General features: G+C 47.5%; 1 protein-coding gene across 6 annotated transcripts in view, besides 4 other annotated features; it reads right to left on the bottom strand.

Moving 5' to 3' along the window:
• The window catches only part of COL26A1 (collagen type XXVI alpha 1 chain), a 196637-nt gene that overhangs the window by 59472 nt on the left and 111530 nt on the right, over window positions 1–25635 (bottom strand). The window lies entirely within an intron of this gene.
• Window positions 4512–5081: an enhancer, noted in NCBI's record as "NANOG-H3K27ac-H3K4me1 hESC enhancer chr7:101137753-101138322 (GRCh37/hg19 assembly coordinates)". NCBI's record gives its function as "activates a minimal SCP1, AML or CMV promoter by ChIP-STARR-seq in primed H9 embryonic stem cells {active_cell/tissue: H9 hESC(primed)}" and the evidence as "EXISTENCE:reporter gene assay evidence [ECO:0000049][PMID:30033119]".
• Window positions 5082–5652: an enhancer, noted in NCBI's record as "H3K27ac-H3K4me1 hESC enhancer chr7:101137182-101137752 (GRCh37/hg19 assembly coordinates)". NCBI's record gives its function as "activates a minimal SCP1, AML or CMV promoter by ChIP-STARR-seq in primed H9 embryonic stem cells {active_cell/tissue: H9 hESC(primed)}" and the evidence as "EXISTENCE:reporter gene assay evidence [ECO:0000049][PMID:30033119]".
• Window positions 12923–13575: an enhancer, noted in NCBI's record as "OCT4-NANOG-H3K27ac-H3K4me1 hESC enhancer chr7:101129259-101129911 (GRCh37/hg19 assembly coordinates)". NCBI's record gives its function as "activates a minimal SCP1, AML or CMV promoter by ChIP-STARR-seq in primed H9 embryonic stem cells {active_cell/tissue: H9 hESC(primed)}" and the evidence as "EXISTENCE:reporter gene assay evidence [ECO:0000049][PMID:30033119]".
• Window positions 13576–14229: an enhancer, noted in NCBI's record as "H3K27ac-H3K4me1 hESC enhancer chr7:101128605-101129258 (GRCh37/hg19 assembly coordinates)". NCBI's record gives its function as "activates a minimal SCP1, AML or CMV promoter by ChIP-STARR-seq in primed H9 embryonic stem cells {active_cell/tissue: H9 hESC(primed)}" and the evidence as "EXISTENCE:reporter gene assay evidence [ECO:0000049][PMID:30033119]".

Genomic DNA, 25635 nt, shown 5'->3' with positions numbered 1-25635 from the left:
GCCACCATGCCCAGCCAATTTTTGTATTTTTAGTAGAGACGGGGTTTCACCAGGTTGGCCAGGCTGGTCTCGAACTCCTGACCTTCAGGTGATCCACCCACCTCGGCCTCCCAAAGTGCTGGGATTACAGGTGTGAGCCACCGCACCCGGCCATGGCTAATTTTTATATATTTTGTAGAGACAGGATCTCATCATGTTGCCCAGGCTGGTCTCAAACTCCCAAGCTCAAGTAATCCTCCCACCTTGGCCTCCCAAAGTGCTGGGAGTATAGATGTGGGCCAATGTGCCCAGCCCTGTGCTCAGCTTTAAATCAAGAGTCCTAACGCCCACCTTGTGATGGCTGGGAGGATGCAGAAGGTCGAGGCTGTGGACACACAGTCCCCAGGTCAGCCAGTGCCAGGGATCCCCGCGAACTCCAGCCAAGGCACCTCTTGCGGCCTCCCCCTCCCCAGCCGACCTTCCCGGGATGGGCTATGCCTCGCGCCCCCAATCTGGAAAGCATTGAGGCCGAATGGCTCCATTTCAAGTACAATTATTACAAACCCTTCAGGGAACGTGAGCTCCAAAATGAAATCTCTTTGTCAAAACTTTCATTAATGCACAGTTTTGTGCGGGGATCGGCTTACATGCCGTGCCTGAGAGCGCTCGATGAAGACCAGATTCTCAGGGGTGCCGCGCGCGGTGGGGAGCCAGCACCAAGCCTCCCTCGCCTTTGCAAACCCTGGGGAAATCCTCTCCAGCCTGCGTCTCCCAACAACAATAGCCTTTGACTTGGGAAAACATCCTGTTGAATTTCACCAAAGCCTGCAACATACATGTCTAGAAGAACATCTCACTGCTTGCTTGTTTCAAAGACCTTCTCCAAATGAAAAGCAACATCACGAAATAAATCCAGAGTGTGCAGAGTGGAGACTCCACTACATGCATCCACAGCCTTGGTGTCGCCGGCAGGGTCACTGTTTCTCATGCAAAGAAAGGCAAACAAACGCTTAGAGGCATCGGACACTTACTCAAGGCTCACCAAGGTGCTCAGAGCCAGTGTGAGAAACCGGGGCTCCCAATTCTTGCGCAGTGCTCATGCCACACTCTGCGGGCTGTGCACACCTGGGTCTCCTCTCTCTATCATTCTGGTGTAACTCTGAGGTCCCCAAAGGCAGGATGTTGGGTGTCCAGGGGGAGCCCCGAGGAACTGAGCACTAGGGGCAGCCTTGGCTTTACTTTTTCTGTGTTACATGAAACTGATAAGAAAGAGGTCATTGGTTTGGACTGAACTCCTGCCCTAGGCTCCAACAGACCAAACCAAAATGGAGTCACTCATGCTAAGATTCACATCACCAAAAAGAAACTAAGATCCTTATCCGACCTGCTGAGAAATCCGGGGAGAGAGACAATAGCCAAACTGGCCAGTTTTAGCCTGCATGATGAAGAAGCCATCCTCTGCTTCAACCTTTACAAGAAAAGTAACTTTGAAATGACCAATTGGCTTTTTGTTCTCTGTGTTAGCTTTTCTCAGTCCTTTTCTGCCTTCAAAAGCCAACCTCCACTACTTGGCTCATTGCAACACTCATGAATATAGGGTCTCGCTCTGTTGCCCAGGCTAGAGCGCGGTGGTGCAATCAAAGCTCCCTGAAGCTTCAAACATCTGGGCTCAAGTGCTCCTCCTGCCTCAGCCTCCCAAGTAGCTGGGATTACAGGTGCATGACACCACACCTAGCAAATTTTTAAAAAATGTTTTTGTAAGATGGGGCCTAGCTATGTTGCCCAAGCTGGTCTTGAACTTCTTGGCTCAAGTGATCCTTCCACCTTGGGCTGCCAAAGTGCTGGGATTACAGATGTGAGCCACTGCGCCTGGCCTTTTATTTATTTATTTTTTTTCTGAGGCAGGGTCTTGCTCTGTTGCCGAGGCTGGGGTGTAATCGTGCAATGACAGCTCACTGCAGCCTCAGCCTCCTGAGCTCAAGTAATCTTCCCACCTCAGCCTCCTGAGTAGCTGGGACTACAGGCATGCACCACCACACCTGGCCAATTTTTTGTATTTTTTGTAGAGACGGGATTTTGCTATGTTGCCGAGGCTGGTCTCGAACTCCTGGGCTCAAGGAATCTACCCTTCTTGACCTTCCAAAGTGCTGGGATTGCAGGCATGAGCCACTGCATGTGGCCAGGGTTAAATACCTTTAAGAGGCTCAGCCCAGCGCCTGGGTTTCAAGGTGCTCAGTACATGTTAGTCAAAATAGGGTGAACTTGACACAGGAGGAGCCTCCCGCTCCCTGGGTCACATGTCATGTTTCCAGAACTATTTCTGTTTGTGTTTTTTGAGATGGAGTTTTGCTCTTGTCCACCAGGATGGAGTGTAATGGCCTGATCTTGGCTCACTGCAACCTCTGCCTCCCGGGTTCAGGTGATTCTCCTGCCTCAGCCTCCCAAGTAGCTGGGACTACAGGCACACACCACTGCACCCAGCTAATTTTTGTATTTTTAGTAGAGACGGAGTTTCACCATGTTGGCCAGGCTGGTCTCGAACTCCTGACCTCAAGTGATCTGCCCGCCTCGGCCTCCCAAAATGCTGGGATTACAGGCGTGAGCCATTGGGCCTGGACTTTATTCTTCTACTTTCTTAATAAACTTACTTTCGCTTTACAGACTCACCCTGAATTCTTTTTTTTTTTTTTCTTTGAGACAGGGTCTCACTGTGTTGCCCAGGTTGAATGGCACTATCTCGGCTCACTGCAACCTCCACCTCCCAGGTTCAAGTGATCCTCCTGCCTCAGCCTCCTGAGTAGCTGGGATTACAGGCACGCGCCATCACGCCTGGGAATTTTTTGTATTTTTGGTAGAGATGGGTTTTTGCCATGTTGGCCAGCCTGGTGTCAAACTCCAGGGCTCAAGTGATCCATCCGCCTTGGCCTCCCAATTACAGGGGTGAGCCACCGCCCCTGTCCAAGAACCCTCTCTTGGGGTCTAGATCTGCACCCCTTTCCTGTGGAGTTTGAAGACCCCACAGAGGAAGAGGATGAGCGTAGAACACAGCTTCTTCCCCTCTCAGTCCCAGGACCTCGCCCTGCACTCTTCCACCCATCAACCATCTCCACACTTCAGCCCACTCCAAAACCCCCAAACCCCAGCCCCAAACTCCTCAGGGAGATAGATTTGAGGTTTCCTCCCATCTCCTCATTTAGTGACGCTATGATTAAACCTTTTTCTCTGCTGCAATCCGGTGTCTTGGTAAATTGACCTGCTGTGTGCATTGGGCAATGAACCTATTCAGTTACCCGGGCATTAACCCCATGGCCCTGGCCACAGCCGACTGGTCCAGGAATCAGCTGCCTTTAGACTCTGACCAGTAGGAGTTCTCCACTCTGGATGGAAGCAGATGGTCTTGGGAAATGCAACATCCGGTTTGCCAGGAGACGTGGGCTGCTGGGAACTGGGCCATGCCTAGTCATGCTAAGCCGCCTTTTTTATTTTTTTCCCTGAGACAGGGTCTCGCTTTGCTGCCTAGGCTGGAGTGCAGTGTTGTAATCATGGTTCACTGCAGCCTCAATCTCCTGGGCTCAAGTGATCCTCTTGCCTCAGCCTCCCAAGTGGCTGGTACCGCAGGCCTGGCTAATTTTTTTTATTTTTTGTAGAGACAGGGTCTTACTATGTTGCCCAAGCTGGTCTCAAATTCCTGGGTTCGTGTGATCATCCCGCCTCGGCCTCCCAAAGTGCTGGGCTTACAGGTGTGAGCCACTGCGCCCGGCCTTGAGCCACGTTTCTGGTTATGTGTGAGGACTTTGAAGGCCCTAGGCACAGAGTGACCAGATGCCAGATGTGGTGGCAAAAATACCCTACGCTGGCCGGGCGCGGTGGCTCATGCCTGTAATCCCAGCACTTTGGGAGGCCGAGGTGGGCGGATCACAAGGTCAGGAGATTGAGACCATTCTGGCTAACATGGTGAAACCCCGTCTCAACTAAAAATAAAAAAATAAAAAATAAAAATAGCCTGGCATGGTGGTGGGTGCCTGTAGTCCTAGCTACTCGGGAGGCCGAGGCAGGAGAATGGCGTGAACCTGGGAGGCGGAGCTTGCAGTAAGCCGAGATCATGCCACTGCACTCCAGCCTGGGCGACAGAGCGAGACTCCATCTTAAAAAAAAAAAAAAATTCCCCAGGCTGCCCATACGTAGCCCCTGCCTGTGCCCATGCACCAAATCCCCCCGCCAGAGGTGCCCTGGAAGCTTGAATTGCTCGACAGCTTCTCTTGGAAAGAGAGGGAAATCAAGTCAACATGTTTTGGAAAGCTCTGACTACCAGGGTCTCCAGCACCTGTTCTGCCGGACATCCTGGCTGCCTCAGGCAGATAAAGCTCTAGCCCTGTGTGTTGGGTTCCAGCTGGGACTGATGGCTCCTCTACCTGAGGTGGGAGGGGGGCACCGATCCCCCTGATCTCCTGACATTCTCAGCAGATAACGTAATGCCTCTTTAAGACAACACTCAGGATCTTTTTCTCCAGGCCAGAATAATATCAGGTCAATTACTTTCTTAAACCGCAGCAGCTCCTTCAGGCTGCCTTTCGCCAGGGGGAGGGTTTGGAAGCCACGGGGAAGGAAGCCCAGGGCTGAGATGAAGGCAGCCCCTCTCCCCATAGAGGAGATGAATCACGACCAACTCTAGGCAGCACACATTCAGACACTGATTCAGAGAGAGGGTCTCGCTTCCAACCTGCAGTGTACGCTCTGGGCAGCCTGTGCTCCCAGCCATGGCGCCGGGACCAAGCCAAGTCACGTTCATACCATTAAACAAGTGCAGCTGGAAGAGCTGGGACTGGAGGAGGAGCGGGCTGGGCCCCCTGCTGTGGCTTCCTTGACTTAATTCACTCTCTCACCCATTCACCAAACCTGCATGATTGGCTGTAGTCAGCTTGTCTGCAATGTGCAAACCTGGCTGGAAATGCAGACGAAACTCAATCCTGCCCCTCAAGGGGCTCTGAGTCTGTAACCTAGGCTCTTAGCCAGGGTCCAAGGATAGAAATCAGGGATGGGTGAACTTTGATAGGAAATAGAACTACGCCTTTACTTTCACCAAACTGCGATTTAGCATCTCTTCCTATTATGAATGTAGTAACAACAACATCAACAATGCAATAGACAGCCAGGCGCAGTGGCTCACATCTGTAATCCCTGCATTCTGGGAGACTATGGCCAGCAGATCACTTGAGGTCAGGAGTTCGAGACCAGCCTGGTCAACATGGTGAAACCCTATCCCTACTAAAAATACAAAAATTAGCCGGGCATGGTGGCAAGTGCCTGGAATCCCAGCTACTCGGGAGGCTGAGGAAGGAGAATTGCTTGAAGCCAGACAGCGGAGTTTGCAGTGAGCTAACACCACTGCACTCCAGCCTGGGCAACAGAGAGACTCTGTCTCAAACAAAACAAAACAAAACAAAACGACAATGCAATAGAAGTAGAAGTACCTGTGTCTTCGTTCCCAATCGAATTCACACAATTATTGCCACTGTCTTGAAATACCTTTCCCGCTCATTTCTACTCCAACATTCTGAAAGTTGTCAGCCTTACTGTGGGATCTTGCTGTTTGCGTTAGGAAAGAAACACACTCATCATTCTGTATTTTTTTTTTTTTTTTGAGACAGAGTCTCGCTCTGTTGCCCAGGCTGGAGTGCAGAGGCACGATCTCAGCTCACTACAAGCTCCACCTCCCGGGTTCCCGCCATTCTCCTGCCTCAGCCTCCCAAGTAGCTGGGACTACAGACGCCCGCCACCACGCCCGGCTAATTTTTTTTTTTTTTTTTTTTTTTTTTAGTAGAGATGGGGTTTCACTGTGTTAGCCAGGATGGTCTCAATCTCCTGACCTCGTGATCCTCCACCTTGGCCTCCCAAAGTGCCAGGATTACAGGCGTGAGCTACCGCGCCCGGCCATAATTTGATTTTTTAAAACAAAATTCCGATGCACTGTATTTCATGGTCATTGATAATCCTCATAGCTCATTTTATGCACTTAAAAATACCGTTCTGAGTAAGAGTCTACAGGATTCAGCAGACGGCCAAAGAGGTCCACAAGCGAAGAGCCCTGGCCAAGGTGACAGCTGTTCTCACCTAGTGTGGTGAGGACTTGAACTAATGGCAAAAGCCAGCTCTGCAGGAACCCAGTAGTCAGGAGGGCTTCATGGAGGCGGGGACTTCTGAGCTGAGCCTTTGCAGATGGACTAGAGCCTGCCAGGCAAACACTGAAGGGGTAAGGGTGGAGTACTGGGGCCTAAGCATGGAGGAAGGAGGGAAGAGTGGCCAGTCTGATAGAGTGGGCGGGGTGGGGAGGGAGGCAAGGGCAGGGGGAAGGGGGTGGGCAGCCTGGTCCGTCCTAGCTTCTTGCAGTGAGATGGGGAAAGACACACTTTGGCTTGAGACAGATCCTGGCTCTGACATTTCCCGGCTGAATGTCCCTGAATAAAGTAACCTCTCTTCCCCATTCTTATTCTCCTCTGTGAAAGGGGAATGATGATTTCCATCTTGTTTGAGGACTAAATCTGACAATGGGCCAGGTGTGGTGGCTCACACTTCTAATCCCAGCACTCCAGGAGGCCAAAGTGAAGGATCACTTGAGCCCAGGAGTTTGAGACCAGCCTGGGCAACACAGCAAGACCCCTATCAAAAATTAGCTGGGCGTGGTGGTGCACGCCTGTAGCTCTAGCTACTTTGGAGGCTGAGATGGGAGGACCACTTGAGCCCAGGAGCTGGAAGCTGCAGTGAGCTGTAATCACACCACTGCACTCCAGCCTGGGCAACAGAACAAGACCCCATCTCTATTTTTATTATTTATTTATTTATTTATTTATTTATTTATTTATTTATTTATTTATTTTTTGAGACAGAGTCTTGCTCTGTTGCCCGGGCTGGAGTGCAGTGGCATGATCTCAGCTCACTGCAACCTCCACCTCCGGGATTCAAGCAATTCTTCTGCCTCAGCCTCCTGAGTAGCTGAGATTACAGGCGCCCACCACCACACCCAGCTAATTTTTGTATTTTTAGTAGAGATGGGGTTTCTCCGTGTTGGCCAGGCTGATCTTGAACTCCTGACCTCAGGTGATCCTCCTGCCTCAGTCTCCCAAAGTGCTGAGATTACAGGCATGAGCCACCGCGCCCGGCCTGCAACTCTATTTTAAAAAATAATAAATAATTGTTTTAAAGTAAAATAATAATTTTGACAGTAGTTGATGGCCATGGTTTGCCCACCACACCTCATACCTAGAGGCTCCCCAAGAAACAGTGGCAAATCCTCATCATGTTCCGTGTGATTTTTGCTATTATTTTTATCTATTGCTTTTTCTTAAGGGAAAATAACAGTAGTTTTCCGTCAAGATTCTACTGTCTGGACAAGAGGAAAGAGCAGGAAATGTCACTTCCAAGAGGATTCAGTTCTCACCCTCTTAAATTCAACATCCAGGCTTACCAGCGGCTTCCTCTGGCCCCCACTGTCTTGGCCTCCAGGTGAGCACCCTGCCCTCATCATTCCATCCCAGCAGGATTTTCCCCAGAGGACCCCAGCCTGTCCACCCATCCTGTTGTACCAAAGTTCCCACACCTCAGAGGGGACATGCATCCCAAATGCCAGGTCCTCCAACTATCAGAAGAATGTGAACCAGAGCAAGTCCATCTTAAATAGGAGCTAGGCAAAATGAGGCTGAGATCTACTGCGTGCATTCCCAGATGGTTAAAGCATTCTAAGTCACAGGATGAGATAGGAGGTCAGCACAAGATACAGGTCATAAAAACCTTGCTGATAAAACAGTTTGCAGTAAAGAAACCGGCCAAAACCCACCAAAACCAAGATGGCGATGAGAGTGACCTCTGGTCGTCCTCACCGCTACACTCCCACCAGCACCATGACAGTTTACAAATGCCATGGCAACACCAGGAAGTTACCCTATATGGTCTAAAAAGGGGAGGCATGAATAATCCACCCCTTGTTTAGCATATCATCAAGAAATAACCATAAAAATGGGCAACCAGCACCCCTCAGGGCTGCTCTGTCTATGGAGTAGCCCTTCTTTTATTCCTGTACTTTCTTCATAAACTTGCTTTTGCTTTGCACTGTGGACTTGCCCTCAATTCTTTCTTGTGTGAGATCCAAGAACCCTCTCTTGGGGTCTCTATTGGGACCCCTTTCTTGTAACACAACCACACATTTGGGATGGCCACCAATGGTGTGCTGGTAAGTGTTTAACAACCAGCTCTCTGTAGTGTCTGTCAATTTCCATGGTGTAAATACTCCCAGCATGGCCAATTTCAAGCCACCAATACGACACCCCTGCACGGGAGTTGGGAGGCAATACACAAAACCAGCTCTCGTGATCTAGTTGAAGGTGGCTTCAAACACAGCTGACCATGCCGTGCAGGGGGGAGCATGCACAATCATCCCCATTTTTCAGGTGAGAAAATTGAGGCTCACAGGGCTTAAGGTAATAGTGCTTTTTTTTTTTGCCTCACACATTCAAGCAATGTTTGTGCCTCAGCCTCCTGAGTAGCTGGGAATACAGGCATGTGCCACTATGCCCAGCTAATTTTTTTTTTTTTTTTTGAGACAGAGCCATTCTCTGTCCCTAGGCTGGAGTGCAGTGGCGTGATCTCAGCTCACTGCAACCTCACGTAATTCTCCTGTCTCAGCCTCCTGAGTAGCTGGGATTACAGGTGCCCACCACCATGCCTGGCTAATTTTTGTATTTTTAGTAGAGACAGCGTTTCACCATGTTGTCCAGGCTGGTCTCGAACTCCTGACCTCAGGTGGTCCGCCCACCTTGGCCTCCCAAAGTGCTGGCATTACAGGCATGAGCCATGGTCCATAGTGCCCGACCTTTTTTTTTGAGATAGAGTCTCACTGTGTTACCCAGGCTGGAGTGCAATGGTGCAATCTCCGCTCACTGTTATCTCCACCTCCTGGGTTCGAGTGATTCTTGTGCCTCAGCCTCTCGAGTAGGTGGGATTACAGGCTTGTGCCACCATACCCAGCTAATTTTTGTAGTTTTAGTAGAGATGAGTTTCACCATGTTGGTCAGGCTGGTCTCGAACTCCCGACTTCAGGTGATCCTCCCACCTTGGCCTCCCAAAGTGCTGGGATTACAGGTGTGAGCCACTGTGCCTGGCCTGCCTCTCTGCTTTATCATGGGCCGCCCATAAAAATGGACTGTTGGCCGGGCACAATGCTCATTCCTGTAATCCCAGCACTTTGGGAGGCCCTGGTGGTAGGATCGCTTGAGCTCAGGAGTTTGAGGCCAACTTGGGCAACATAGCCAGACTGAGACTTTGTCTCTACTTAAAAATTTTAAAAAGGCCCGGCACGGTGGCTCACACCTGTAATTCCAGCACTTTGGGAGTCCGAGGCGGGCAGATCACGAGGTCAGGAGTTCGAGACCAGCCTGGCCAATATGGTGAAACCCCATCTCTACTGAAAAATACAAAAATTACCCATGTGTGGTGGCAGGTGCCTGTAGTCCCAGCTACTTGAGAGGCTGAGACAGTAGAATCACTGGAACCTGGGAGGCGGAGGTTGCAGTGAGCCGAGATCGGGCCATTGCACTCCAGCCTGGGCAATAGTGCAAGTCTCCATCAGAAAGAAAGAAAGAAAGAAAGAGAGAGAGAGAGACAAGAAAGAAAGAAAGAAAGAAAGAAAGAAAGAAAGAAAGAAAGAAAGAAAGAAAGAAAGAAAGAAAGAAAGAAAGAAAGAAAGAAAGAAAGAAAGAAAGAAAGAAAGAAAGAAAGAAAGAAAGAAAGAAAGAAAGAAAGAAAGAAAGAAAGAAAGAAAGAAAGAGAGACAAGAAAGAAAGAGAGAAAGAGAGAGAGAAAGAAAGAATGAAAGAAAGAAAGACAGAAAGAAAGAAAGAAAGGAAGGAAGGAAGGAAGGAAGAAAGAAAGAAAGAAAGAAAGAAAGAAAGAAAGAAAGAAAGAAAGAAAGAAAGAAAGAAAAAGAAAGAAAATAGCCGAGTGTGGTGGTGCATACCTCCAGCTACTTAGGAGGCTGAGGAAGGAGGATCTCTTGAGCCCAGGAGTTCAAAGCTGAGGTGAGCTATGAATTGTTTCTTGTGTGAAATCCAAGAATCCTCTCTTGGCGTCTGGATCAGGACCCTGTTCCTGTAACATGAGCCAGTTGGAGAGAGGCTCTCAGGTCTCTTGCAGCTCTGGTCAGGCTGAGCACAGAATCACTGTCATTTGCTCTTAGGGTGACAGAGGATGGAATATATCTGGCACCTCTTTCCCTAGCTGGACTCCACATATTCTAACTTCATGTGGGACAGTGCCTTTGGCTGAGGAATCTCAGGGGTTAAACCACAGCTCCTCCAATCCCACAGACTAAAGTCCTGTTGTTAAAGGACTGATTCCCACAAGAGGAAAAAAAAAATCACGGCTCTCATACAAGTAGAAAATGAACATGTGTCAAAGATTTTATTTAACACATTAATCAAAGAGGGAACAAAGCAGACAGATGCCATGGGCGGTTCAAAGGCAAATTCGTAGAAGCACGGAATCTTGCAGGCAAACACGGAATGCTGCTGTGAATTTACAAATAGACGCAAAACAGGTTTGTCCCCAGGGCAATATCCAATTGCATTCCACCGGACACAATTAACTTACAGGAACGTGGACAAAAATCCATTCTCATGATTACTGCACAACTTTACAGAGCTGTAAACTGGCTCAAAGACAATAAAAGGTACAACTAACCTGGAAGAGTGCGCTAGACAGGACACACACAATAAACTTTTTTTCCTCCTTTAAAAGTCTGCAATTTAATTGGGACAATGAAAAAGTTCTGAAGATGGACAGTGGAGATGGCTGGACGACAGTGTGACGGTACCTAACACGGCTGAATTGAACGCTTAAAACTGGTTAAAGTTCGGGCGCGGTGGCTTACGCCTGTAATCCTAGCGCTTTGGGAGGCCGAGGAGGGAGGATCACCTGAGGTCAGGGGTTCGAGACCAGCCTGGCTAACATGGTGAAACCCTGTCTCTACTGAAAATACAAAAAATAGCCGGGCGTGGTGGCGGGCACCTATAATCCCAGCTACTCAGGAGGCTGAGGCAGGAGAATCACTTGAACCCAGGAAGCAGAGACTGCAGTGAGCTGAGATTGCGCCACTGCACTCCAGCCTGGGTGACAGAGTTAGACTCTGGAAAAAAAAAATGTGTGTGTATATATATATATATATATATATATATATTAAATAAAATTAAAAACGGATTAAAATGTTAAAATGTATTTTATGTATATTTAATTACTTTTTTTTTTTGAGACAGAGTCTCACTCTGTCACCAAGGCTGGAGTGTAGTGGCGCGATCTTAGCTCACTGCAACCTCTGCCTCCAGGGTTCAAGCGATTCTTGTGCCTCAGCCTCCCAGTAGCTAGGATTACAGGCACCCGCCACCACATCTGCCTAATTTTTGTTTTGTTTTTTTTTCAGTAGAGATGGGGGTTTCACCATGTTGGCCAGGGTGGTCTTGAACTACTGACCTCACGTGATCTGCCTGCCTTGACCTTCCAAAGTCCTGGGATTATAGGCGTGAGCCACTGCGCCCAGCCTAATCACAATTTTTTTAAAGCCTTCAATGTAAAAGACACTGTAGTAGTTTGAGACCAGCCTGGGCAATATAGTGAGACCCCATCTCTATAACAAAATAAAAAACGATACTGTGATAGCCGGTGGGTGCAGGGTGGGTTCACTTTGTGGTCTGGAAAATCAGTGTTGTGGTGGGGGCCAAACCTGCCCCTGAAGGTGATCTTTTCTGCTCAGAGCCCCTCCAGCCCCAGTGACAGGGCGTGGGCTTATCTTACGGGCAGGGTGGCCAACCACAGGGCTGGCTGGAGGACTGGAGGCCCTGGGGACACAGTGGTGGCCAGAGTGGCCGAGGGTCTCAGGTTTGCACAGGAGCGCGGCATCTCAGAGGTGGGAGGAGAGTCCTGGACCCTGCCCTCCACAGCCCCAGCTTCATGGATGGTTTGAGTCCTTCTCTTGAGAGAGATGGGGCCCCTCGAGTGTGCCCTAGAAGGAGCCAAGATGGCAGGGAGGGCACCGAGAGCCATGTCGTGAGAGAGGGGGTTGAAAGAACCCGAGGAAACTGGTTGAAGGCCTGGTAGCAGGCAGAGGAGGCATGCTGGCTGGGGAGCCCTTGGTGCTGACACGGGGTGATGGGGTGCAGGCTATGGAATCCAAGCCTCAGCAAGAGACAGTGACTCTCCAGGGCCATGCCATGAGCAAAGGGTAAAGCTGGGTATCTTAGTCCCGGCCTGGTTAGCCCCAAGGGCAGTCTCTGGCTCACAACACCCTGCCCTCCTCCCCAGGCCTGCTGGGATACTCAGGGTCAAGGTCCTTTTCTCCAGGACCTCGCAAACTGGTGTCCAGTGTCTGTGACCAGCCCCAGAAACACTGGTGCTGCCGGTTCCTGGGTTTCTAGAATATCTGTGCCCCCTCCTCCCCGCCCTGCATCTTCCCAGCTTCCCTGTCTGTCTCCACCAGCACCCCTGGCCTCTCCTCCCACGCCTGCCTGGAATTCCCTTAATTGGGAGCTGTCGGCCCAGGCTCCCTTCCTCCCCCTCCAGCCCTGGGACTGTGCCCGGGTTCCCGGTGCCTGTCTGATGACCATGGGGGCAAACACAGGGCCACGGCCTCCCTGGAGATTTGCCCGAAGGCTTTAGAATTCATCGTACAGGGTCTGATTCCAAAGGAACATAAATTCCATCCTGGAATCCATTACGTTTCTGATCCGCTGGGCAGGAGGAAACGTGGTCCATAGCAAAATAAAAGACATCCTGGAACCCATTACGGACTCTGATAGAAGACAAAGGCAGGGAGAAAGGACATTATGGGATCGACGTGCCTAATAAAAGGCGTGTTGGCATCTCCGTTCCACCGGGATGTGGATTAACAACAGATGTACTACACTAATGTCGATTTGTATGCTAATTTAAAACAACTGCATGGCCTTTGCAGGCAGGAATTCTATAAATGCGCCCGGTCCTCTTCCCTGCAGCTGCTGACGGCAGGGCCAGGGCGGGCGGGTGAGGGCTGTCTCCAGCCCTTCCCGCCACCGCAAAGCTGCCTGTGCAGGGACCTGCCTGTGCAAGTCTGACCTGGAGCCCCCACTGTCCTCAATGTCTCTGCTGAGGCTGGCCTGTGAACCCCAAGACCGGGCTTCAGAGCTCCCTATGGGGTATGACACGGACAGCCTCAGGCTGTGGGGTTGGGGGGGACGTGGAATGAACAGTTGAGCTTAGTCCCCTTGTGAAACTGAAGATCGCTGTCTGTTCCCTTCCCAAGGGTCAACTATGCCCAGAGGGTGAAGACGGATCCGAAAATCCCAGAAAATCCCAGAGAATCTGAGACTACTTTTTTTTTTTTTTTAGAGACAGTCTCACTCTGTCACCCAGGCTGGAGTGCAGTGCTGCAATCTTGGCTCACTGCAACCTCTGCCTCTCAGGTTCAAGTGATTCTCGTGCCTCAGCCTCCTGAGTAGCTGGGACTACAGGTGCCCGTCACCGTGCCCAGCTAATTTTTCTATTTTCAATAGAGACGCGGTTTCACCATGTTGTCCAGGCTGGTCTCAAACTTCTGACCTCAAGTGATCCACCTGCCTCGGCCTCCCAAAGTGCTGAGAATACAGATGTGAGCCATCGTGCCCGGGCTCCGCTGAGATCACTTTACACCCCACACCACTATCAGAGGTTGAGAGACAGGATGGGACAATCCCAAGGTCACATGGCTGCCGCGGCTGGGCCTCGGCTCATCTCAGCCCTCTGCCTCCCACTGCTCCCACCCCCAACACCTGTAGCCCCAGCACATACAGGTTTTTGCCAGAACTGTCCATCTGTCTCACCAAAGAGCCTTTCCTGAGGGCTCTTCAGGGCCAGACCCTGTCCAGGGCACTGGGGATGCAGAGATCAGATGACGGCAGGTAAACAAAGGCAGCCATAGGCAGGGGAGTTGGAGTTGGGTGGCAAGACCTGTAACAGAGGCCAGAACAAGCTACTGGGGGCACAGAGAAGGAAGCGACTATGAGGATCACACCCTTTCTGGTCCATTAGCTCACAAGCGTGTGTCCCAGGGGAGTCTTGGTTGCCCCTGCAGCATCATAGCCTATGACGAAAAAGACCCAAACTCATACTTGTCACTCAGCGTTCATGCCTGACGTCAAAATGTGTCTCCAAAGATGCATGTGTCTGGCCTGATGTGAAAGTCCTCTGGGAGCACCTCACGCAGGTGAGCTGGAACCTGACTGCTCCCAGGGCTCAGGCAGGTGAGGCAGCATCACCTCTCAGCACCGGCGTGTGCAGAGCTGACCTCTGGCCTTCTCTCTCCTTCCTCCATGTATGCTTCTCTTTTTTTCTGACTCTTTCTCTCCCCCGGTAGAAATATATGATGTGAGGCCGGGCATGGTGGCTTACGCCTGTAATCCCAACACTTTGGGAAGCTGAGGCAGGTGGATCACTTGAGGCCAGGAGTTCGAGACCAGCCTGGCCAATATAGTGAAACCCCGTCTCTACTAATAACACAAAAATTTGCCAGGCTTGGTGGCGCATGCCTGTAATCCCAGCTACTTCAGAGACTGAGGCAGAATCATCTGAACCCAGGAGGCAGAGGTTGCAGTGAGCCGAGATTGTGCCACTGCACTCCAGCCTGGGTAACAAGAGCAAAACTCTGTCTCAAAAAAATTAATTAATTAATTAATTAATTAAAAATACAAAAATTAGCCAGGCATGGTGGCACATACCTGTAATCCTAGCTACTCGGGAGGCTGAGGCAGGAGAATCACTTGAGCCCAGGTGACGGTTGTAGTGAGCCGAGACTGTGCCACTGTACTCTAGCCTGGGTGACAGAGCAAGACTCCATCTAAAAATAATAATAAAGGGCCCAGCATGGTGGCTCACACCTGTAATTCCAGCACTTTGGGAGGCTGAGGTGGGCAGATCACGAGGTCAGGAGTTCGAGACCAGCCTGACCAACATGGTGAAACCCTGTCTCCACTAAAAATACAAAAATTAGCCGGGTGTGGTGGTGGGCACCTGTAATCCCAGCAACTCAGGAGGCTGAGGCAGGAGAATCGCTGGAACCTGGGAGGCAGAGGTTGCAGTGAGCCAAGATCACGCCACTGCATTCCAGCCTGGGCGACACAGGGAGACTCTGCCTCAAAAATAATAATAATAATAAAATAAGAAGTATAGGATGTGGAGTGAAATTTTGGCACAGCTACTAATTCATTTCTTCAGCATGGCATCTTGCATAAGTTCCTTAATGTCTCTGAGACACAGTTTGTTTCTCCATCAGCAAAGCTACCTCACAGCATTGCTGAGAGTCTAAAGAGAATGTAAGACCTGAACCAGGCACAGTGTGAATGCTTAGAAAGTGTAAATAAAAGCTAATTTCTAGTGCCAGGTGCAGTAGCTCACATTTGTAACCTCAGCACCTCGGGAGGTTGAGGTGGGAGGCTCACTCAAGGCCAGGAGTTCAAGGCCAGCCTGGGCAACACAGCGAGACCTTGTCTACACACACACACACACACACACACACACACACACACACACACACTTTAAAAAGTTAGCTGGGGCCAGGTGCAGTGGCTCATGCCTGTAATCCCAGCACTTTGGGAGGCCGAAGTGGGCAGATCCCAAGGTCAGGAGTTTGAGCCCAGCCTGGCCAACATAGTGAAACCTCTTCTCTACTAAACATACAAAAATTTAGCCAGGAGTGGTGGTGTGTGCCTGTAATCCCAGCTACTCGGGAGGCTGAGGCAGGAGAACCACTTGAACCCGGGAGGTGGAGGTTGCAGTGAGCTGAGATCGCGCCATTGCACTCCAGCAGCCTGGGCGACAATGAGAGACACTGTCTCAAAAAAAAAACAAAGTTAGCTGGACATGGTGGCATGCATCTGTAGTCCCACCTACTTAGGAGGCTGAGGCAGGAGGATGGCTTGAACCCAGGAGTTCAAGGCTGCAATGAGCTATGATCACGCCACTCCACTATAGGCTTGGCCACAGAGCAAGACCCTGTCTCTTTAAAAAAATAATAAAATTAAATTAAAAAGGCTGGGCACAGTGGCTCATGCCTGTAATCCCAGCACTTTGGGAGGCTGAGGTGGGTGGATCACGAGGTCAGGAGTTTGAGACCAGTCTGGCCAAGATGGTGAAACCCCGTCTCTACTAAAAATACAAAAATTAGCCGAGTACGGTGGCATGTGCCTGTAATCCCAGCTACTTGGGCGACTGAGGCAGGAGAATCGCTTGAACCCAGGAGGCGGAGGTTGCAGTGAGCCAAGATCATGCCACTGCACTCTAGCCTGGGTGACAGAGCGAGACTCTGTCTCCAGAAAAAAAAAAAAAGCTAATTTCTTTCTTTCTATTTTGAGGGTGACAGAGACAAATGTAGTGACTAAATGCCCCATTTTCTTCCCTACATTTCCCTGCTCCCTTAAAGCAGACCATGGTCATATGATTTGTTTGCACCAGTTAAGTTGTAAGAGGTTGAGGCCGTAAAAGATCCACACGCAACTTCCCAGGCATCCCACAGCTGCCAGATGGTAAAACTTCTGTGCCTAAGGAACTCTGTTTTGTTTTTCATTTTTTTGAGACAGAGTCTCACTTGTCGTCCAGGCTGGAGTACAGTGGCACCATCTTGTCTCACTGCAACCTCCGCCTTCCAGGTTCAAGCGATTCTCCTGCCTTGGCCTCCTGAGTAGCTGGGATTACAAGCGTGTGCCAACACGCCTGGCTAATTTTTGTATTTTTAGTAGAGATAGGTTTTCACCATGTTGGCCAGGCTGGTCTTGAACTCCTGGTCTCAAGTAATCCACCCGCCTCGGCCTCCCAAAGTGCTGGGATTACAGGCGTGAGTCACCCTAAGGAGCCCTGAGATGCTCAGCCACTGACCAGCACTGCACATGAAGCAGGAGTAAGACAGGAACTTGTGCTGGGCTAACCTGCTAAAACCTTGGTACTGTTTGTTTCCAAAGTGCAACCTAGTCCATCCTGACTATTACAATATCCTGCATCATGGGATTATGATAGGGGTGATATGAGATAATGTATGTTAATGTAACTCACACAATATAAGAGCACTCACTTCTCATTTTATTGCCTTTCTGCCACTTCCTTCTTGGGAGGAATTTGGTGCAATTAAAGATTGCAACTTACAGTGAGAGAAAATGGGCTATTTTATTTTCAAAGGCCTCATGCTGAGCTACATAAAAACATCAATAAAAAGGAAAAAGAAGGCCAGGCGCGGTGGTGGCTAACGCCTTTAATCCCAGCACTTTGGGAGGACAAGGCAGGTGGATCCCTTGAGGTCAGTAGTTAGAGACCAGCCTGGCCAGCATGGCAAAACCCCGTCTCTACTAAAAAATACAAAAATTAGCTAGGTATAGTGGCAGGCACCTGTAATCTCAGCTACTCGGGAGGAGAACTGCTTAAACCCGGGAGGCAGAGGTTGCAGTGAGCCGAGATCATGCCACTGCACTCCAGCCTGGGTGACAGAGTGAGACTTGGTCTAGGAAAAAAAAAAAAAGGAAAAAGAGTACATATGATATTAGTGTAATAATAATCATTATTGTTAGCATTTATGGTGCACTTACCACATGGTTAGATTGTTTACTTAAATCCTTACCTAGTCCCGATAATTCTTTGTAGAAAGGACAATATTCCCACTGTCTAAATAAAGAAATTGAAACTTAAGAAGGTTAAAAAGATACCTCTTTAACAGGATGGTGTGTAAGATAACCAGAAAAACCTCTGCTACAAACACTTTGGAATGCTGGACAAAATATACCAAAAATTGGCCGGGTGGGGTGGCTCATGCATGTAATCCCAGCACTTTGGGAGACTGAGGCAGGAGGATTGCTTGAGGCCAGGAGGTCAAGTCAAGCCTGCGCAACATAGCGTGACCCCGTTTCTACAAAATATTTAAAAATCAGCTGGGTGTGGTGGTATGCTCCTGTAGTCCCAGCTACTTAGGAGGCTGAGCAGGGAGGATCGCTTGAGCACAGGAGTTTGAGATGGCAGTGAGCTATGACCGTGCCATGCACTCCAGCCGGGGTGACAGTGAGTCCCTGTTTCAATTATATATATATATATATATATTTTGGGAGATTCTATATAATTATATATATATATATAATTGTGATAAATGCATAGCTGAGTTCCCAAGAAAGAAAGGAGGTGCTTACAAGAATAAAGAGAAAAACTGAAGACACAGAAGCTGCTATATGAAATCATAAAGATGCTATAACTGACCTTGGGTGGGGTGGCTATCATAGTAACTTAGCTGTTTCAGTGTGGGGTTTTACACCCATGCATTCTGATAACCCATGAAATAAGGAATGACAACCTTCCATGAAAGATTTGCTAGAAAACTGTCTGCTGATCAGCAGAGTGAGGGAACAACGTGGCATCTCCTCTTTGCCTGAATTTAAAAAGAAAATCTCCCCTGATAACATCCAAACCTCAGGCCTGTGCCTTGTTTGGATCTGAGGTTTGAATTAATATCAGAAATTCACTAGCATTTATCCAGAAACCCACAAATCAAGAAACTAACATGAAAATCAACTCCTGCCCAGGATATTCTGGAGTGCCTTACAAAGCTTTGTGGAAGAATGGTTCCACAATCCGGACTGCTTGTTTTCTCATTGAAAAACAAGCTGTGACAAAGATGAGTTAACCATAAAAAATTACAAAACAAACAAGGAAACAAGCAACAATGAGAGAGGAAATAAAAGCACCAGGGAAGGCCAGGTACAGTGGCTCACACCTGTAATCCCAGCACTTTGGGAGGCCAAGGCGGGAGGATCGCTTGAGCCCAAGAGTTCGAGACCAGCCTGGGCTACATGGTAAAACTCTGTCTTTACAAAAAATACCCCCCAAAAAGCTGGGCATGGTGACGCACGCCTATAGTCCCAGCTACTTGGGAGGCTGAGGTGGGAGGATCACTCGAGTACAGAAGGTCAAGGTTATGGTAAGCCAGGATTGCACTATGACACTCCAGGCTAGGCAATAGAGTGACACCCTGTCTCAAAACAAACAAACAAACAAAAATAAATTAAAACAATCAGAAAGATTAAAGCCCCAGCAACATGAGAAAATAAAAACTCTAATATGAAATAAAATATGACATGTGTAAAATAAGAATGTTTAAAAATATCAAAGAGCTAAAAGAAGGAGTTGAAAATAGGGTAGAAGTGAAAAGGAACTAAGTATAACTTGGAAAAATTAGAATAATAATAATTAAATTGGCAGATAAAAAGTCTTATTGGACACACTGAAGAGAAGACAAATAAAATGAAAGCTAGATCTGAGAATATTGCCCAAAATGCAAAAGAAATAGAAATTATGAGCAGTTTAGAGACTCAGAGGATAGAATGAGAGAATGAGGATATTATCTGAAAGAACTTCCACTGGGTAAAAACATACAGCTAGATAGAAGGAATAAGTTCTAAATCCCAGCTGCTTAGAAGGCTGAGGTGGAAGGACTGCTTGAGCCCAGGAGTTCAAGAACAGTCTGGAAAAACTAGTGAGACCCTGACTCTTAAAAAAAATTGTTTTAGTATTCAATAGTACAGTAGAGAAATTATAGTTAACAATAATTTATTATAGATTTCAAAATAGCTAAAAGAGAAGAATTGTAATGTTTCCAACACAGGAAAAATATAAATATTTGAGGTGATGGATATTTGATCATTATGTATTATATACACATATCAAAATATCACATGTACTCCCAAAATATGTACAATGATGATATGCCAATAAAAATGCAAACAAACAAATAATAAAAGGAGTTCCAGAAACAAAGAATAGAGGAAATTTTATAAAGAGGCAAAATCTGAAGAGATAATAGCTTGAGGTTTTCTGGAATTGATTTAAAAATATGTGGATCCTCATGTATCAAGGATTCAAGATTTACAAAGAGTCTTAAATGGGTAAGTAAACTGATACATATCTAGACACCAAATCATAGTGGCTCTGCAGAATTCCAAATATAATGACAAAATACTATAATCAACCAAAGAAAAGGAATGAATTACCTCCAAAGACACCTTCAGTAAATCTTTCAACAGCAACAATAGAGGCTAGAAGATAATGGTGTAATATCTCCAAAATGCAGAGGAAATATAACTGTCAACCCAGAATTTTATACCCAGCTAAACCATCATTCAAGAGCGATGTCTAAAGACTAATTTTTGAACAAACAAAACTGAAAGAGGCTTAAATTTGGATGTATTAGGGAGATGCAAATTTTAAAATGATATACAGTTTCTCATCCATTTGTGTCCAAAATGTAATAATTCTAGTAACACCAAAAATTGGCTAGACTGTGGAATAATGGAAAACTTTTATACACTGCTGGTGAAGTGGAAATTGGAACACTGAGTTTGGAGAGCAATTGACAATATGTAGAAGAATTAACTGTAAGTATTTTCTGTCTGGGCAAGCCTTTGCTCGCATGCACAAGGATTCAAAGGTAGTCCCTGCAGCACTGTTTGTAATTGTGAAAAAGCAGAAGCAATATATCTGTTAGTAGGGGAATGATAAATAAATGGCAGTATATCCCCACAGTGAAATACTATAAAGCAGTTAAAATCAATGAGAGGCAAAAGAGTCAATATGTATAGATCTTACTACTATTTTGTCAAGTGAAAAAGCAAGCTACAAAATGATGAATTCAGCAGAACATCATTATGCAAATTTTAAAACACACAATAGTATGTTTTGTTTATAGCTATAAATATATATGTAGTAAAAGTAGAGAAATTTGTCTAGGAATGACACCCACCAACTTGATTAGTGTCACATTTTGAAAAAGAGAAAACGCATACAGGATACCTGACTTTAGCCATACCCATAACATTTTATTCCTTTAAAATACACTGTTCTGGATTATTTCAAAATAAAAAGTTAAAAAGGAAACACTGAAGCAAATATGACATAATGCTAACAACTGTTAAATCTTAGTGGTAAGTATATATGTATTTTATGGGGCGTTTTGTGTACTTTCGGTTAATTTGAAATATTTCTTATGTAAATTTTGGAGATTCAGAGTTTTAACTTTACCATTAGAATGGTGAGAGGGACACTAAGGGTGACTGAGTCTGGCTGTCCTGTGTCATGACCTAATTTTACAAAAGGACACTTTATTTTCCTCTGCTCATCTGTTTTGGGCACAGATAGCAGACACACATTTACCACCACGCTCTCCCGAAACCGCACCTCAAGTCACAGAAAGGTTTGTGTTTTCTTAAAAGATATCAATGAGCTGGGCGTGGCGGCTCATGCCTGTAATCCCAGCACGCTGGGAGGCTGAGGTGGGTGGATCACTTGAGGTCAGGAGTTCAAGACCAGCCTAGCTAACATGATGAAACCCATTTCTACAAAAACACAAAAATTAGGTGGGCGTAGTGGTGAGCACCTGTAATCCCAGGTACTCAGGAGGCTGAGGTGGGAGAATCGCTTCAACCTGGGAGGCAGAAGTTGCAGTGAGGCGAGATCTTGCCATTGCCCTCCAGCCTGGGCAACAGAGCGAGACTCCGTCTCAAAAAATAAATAAATAAAAAAGAAATATCAATGGACAAGAACAAAGAAATTGACAAGGGTAAAAGAGTCAACAGCAACAGAAATGTGGAAACCGCAAAACAAATGGACAAATGGTAGCTGATTTTACTGACCCACGAAAGGTCAGGGAAAGCTGAGAAAATCTCATCTACACCGCAGAACACCCCTCCCACAATGGCAACATACCAAGTACTTGGACAAATGAAGGTATACAGAGGTGCTGAAAACAAGATAGGTTCAAAGTCTCAAAGAAAGAGGATGTCTCTGTGTCCTCCCCTTCACTCAGGCAGAAATCTGGAGGCTTATTCTTAGGAGAGAAAAAATGGGGGAATCTCATGACTGAAGAATACCAGGTATGATTGAGGGTCTGAGAACTATACTGAAAACTGGGAATTAAGTGCAAGTTTAGACACTGAATATCAAGATACTCCCTATACACCCTTCCTCCCCCTCAGCTCCTAGCTGGCAGATGGCCAGATGTACACCCTCCAGATACAAGAGTAGACAAATTTTCTCAGGCAGATCCAACCAGCCCAAGAGAGGGTCACTGAGGGCTTATAATACACATACTATGCACTCACTGCACATCTGTGCAAACTGCACACACACAAACCTCACACTCCGCATGCTAATGCACACACACAAACACGCACAAACATGACCATGTATCATTCACACTAACTACACACACAGCACGCATATCCCACGCAGACACACAATACCTTACAATTCACACACTAACAGACCAGTTTTCCCTGAAAAGAGGAGATTCCAGTCTACCTGAGTCAGTATAATACAGACATCCCCCTTGCCTTAACCCTTACAAAAAAGTAACCAGAGGCCGGGCTCGGTGGCTCATGGCTGTAATCCCAGAACTTTGGGAGGCTGAGGCGGGCAGATCACCTGAGGTCAGGAGTTCAAGACCAGCCTGGCCAACATGGTGAAATCTGGTCTCTACTAAAAATACAAAACTTAGCCGGGCGTGGTGGTGCATGCCTGTAATCCCAGCTACTCGGGAGGCTGAGGCAGGAGAATCACTTGAACCCAGGCAGAGGAGGTTGTAGTGAGCCGAGATCGTGCCAGTGCACTTCAGCCTGGGCAACAGAGCAAGATTCCATCTCAAAAAAAAAAAAAATGGCTGGGCATGGTGGCTCACACCTGTAATCCCAGCACTTTGGGAGGCCGAGGTGGGTGGATCACGAGGTCAGGAGATCGAGACCATCCTGGCTAACACGGTAAAACCCCGTCTCTACTAAAAATACAAAAAATTAGCCGGGTGTGGTGGCGGGCGCCTGTAGTCCCAGGTACTCGGGAGGCTGAGGCAGGAGAATGACATGAACTCTGGAGGCAGAGCTTGCAGTGAGCCGAGATCATGCCACTGCACTCCAGCCTGGGCAACAGAGCGAGACTCCGTCTCAAAAAAAAAAAAAAAGTAACCAAGTAACCAGAAGTAACCCGATGTTAACCAACCCGGTTTTTTCCTATCATTCTATTTCCTTGTTTCCATCTTACAAAACCCAGTGTTTTGCTATTGCAGTGGAAGCTCTTATTCTATTTTATAGAATGAAGACTGCCCGAATTGATAAACCTTGAATAAAAACCAATTAGATCTATAACTACATTTGTTATGATTTTGTCTTTTGACAACACTAACACATGGGCATATATGTAATCACCACAGAATTGGCCAGGCACTGTGGCTCACACCTATAATCCCAGCACTTTAGGAGGTCGAGGTGGGCAGATCACCTGAGGTCAGGAGTTCAAGACCAGCCTGGCCAAGATAGTGAAACCCATCTCTACTCACACACACACACACACACACACACACACACACACAATTAGCTGGGAGTGGTGGCATGCACCTGTAATCCCAGCTACTCAAGAGGCTGAGGCACAAGAATCACTTGAACCTGGGAGGCAGAGGTTGCAGTGAGCTGAGACTGCACCACTGCACTCCAGCCTGGGTGACAACATGAGATACTGAAAAGAAGAAAGAAAGAAAGAGAGACAAAGAGAGAGGGAGAAAAAAAGAAAGAAGAAAGAAAGAGAGAGAGAAAGAAAGAGAGAGAGAGAGAAAGAGAGAGAAAGAAAGAGAGAGAAAGAGAAAGAAAGAGAGAGAAAAAGAGAGAGAGAAAGAAAGAGAGAGAGAGAAAGAGAGAGAAAGAAAGAAAGAAGGAAGGAAGGAAGGAAGGAAAGAAAGAAAGAAAGAAAGAGAAAGAAAGAAAAAGGAAGGAAGGAAGGAAAGGAAGGAATCACCACAGAATCATGCATCATCGCCACGCACATCCAATACACAGTAGGCACACATGCACATCACAACAACACGGAAACACACCAGGCCCACAATATACGCACACACACATCGAACACACACACTCGCGTCCAGCCCGTAACTTAGTGGCCCTGAAATCCACCCTCACCCTTTGTGTGTGAATAAGGCCTCTGAAAACCTTCTGTAGTGGAAATAACAGCCCCTGCTTCTCTCCATCAGTGGGGCTCAGGACACTGTACCCCTAAATATGGTATGTTGGTGTTTGAGAAAACAGCAGAAGCAGGAAGTTCTTTCTGACTTTCCCCCACACTTTTCCCCTGACACGGGTCATAAAAGAATTCTCTGACTTTCCTCTAAAGTAGATCATAAGACTTTTACCCCAGAGGTGCCCTCCCTACCTAAAGGAAAGGAACATCCTTGTCTCTGAGGACACAGGGACACAGAGAAGAATCTGAACATGCCTTGCTAAGTTTCACCCAGTTTGTTATGATGAGGTCATACCTTTTTTATTTGAGACAGAGTCTTGCTCTGTTGCCCAGGCTGGAGTGCAGTGGCGCGATCTCGGCTCACCTCCGCCTCTGCCTCCCAGGTTCAAGCCATTCTCCTGCCTCAGCCTCCCGAGTAGCTGGGAATACAGGCACCCACCACACCACACCCAGCTAATTTTTTGCATTTTTAGTAGAGATGGATTTTTGCAATGTTGACTAGGCTGGTCTCGAACTCCTAACCTCAAGGGATCCACCCGCCTTGGCCTCCCAGAGTGCTGGGATTACAGGCGTGAGCCACTGCGCCTGGCCTGAGATCATACTCTTTTTGTGCAATCACACTTCTCCACAGCTGTCCGCTTTTTTATCAAATTTAGCATAAAAATACACAGGTCTCCCTGTTTCTTTGGGTCTTCATGTCTGAAGTTTCCTATGTCACATAAAACTTAAACAAATGTGCATGTTTTTCTCTTGTTAATCTATCTTGTGTCACAGGGGTATTAACTATGGACTTAGCAATGGATGAGAATAGAAATCTTTTCTTCCCTCTACCATCATGCAGAGGCCTTTCACCATAGCCCCAGACACAGTGCAACCCTGTATTTTATTTTATTTTATTCATTTATTTTTTGAGACAGGGTCTGGCTCTGTCACCCAGGCTGGAGTGCAGTGGCGGGATCATAGCTCAATGCAGCTTCAAACTTCTGGGCTCAAGCGATCCTCCCACCTCAGCCCCCTGAGTAGCTGAGTCTACAGGTGTGTGACACCATACCTGGCTAATTTTTTTTTTTAGAGATGGGGTCTTGCTATATTGCCCAGGCTGGTCTCGACTTCCTGGGCTCAAGTGATCCTCCTACCTCGACCTCCCAAAGTGCTGGGATTACAGGCATAAGCTATCACACCCAGCCCAACCCTGTATTGTAATTGTTGATTCATTCATTTCCTCCTCAGAGAGGATGGTGCCAGGAAAAGCAAGCCCGGTTTCTGGTGTAGGATCAATCATTCACTTACTATCTATGTGGCCTTCATCCAATCACTTAACCACCTGACCCCATCTTTCTCATCTGTAAAATGGGAACACAGTGTTGCCTGCCTGCTGCCCAGGGTTACTGGGAAAGTAAAAGGAAGTGATGTTGAGGGCTCAGGGCTTTGCCAGCCGTACATGCTTTTCACAGGCTGGCATTGGACCTGTTTCATGGGTGCCCACCATGCACCAGACACATTCAAGCAGCCTCTCTACTTTCCAACACTCTGGAGGATATTTCCAACACTCTGGAGGATATGCATCATTTTTTCCCATTTCAT

The sequence above is a fragment of the Homo sapiens genome, chromosome 7 (genome assembly GCF_000001405.40).
Source record: "Homo sapiens chromosome 7, GRCh38.p14 Primary Assembly".
Classification (NCBI taxonomy): Eukaryota; Metazoa; Chordata; class Mammalia; order Primates; family Hominidae; genus Homo; species Homo sapiens.
Note: the sequence above shows the minus strand (reverse complement) of the source record. Positions and strands in the feature narration are given on the sequence as shown.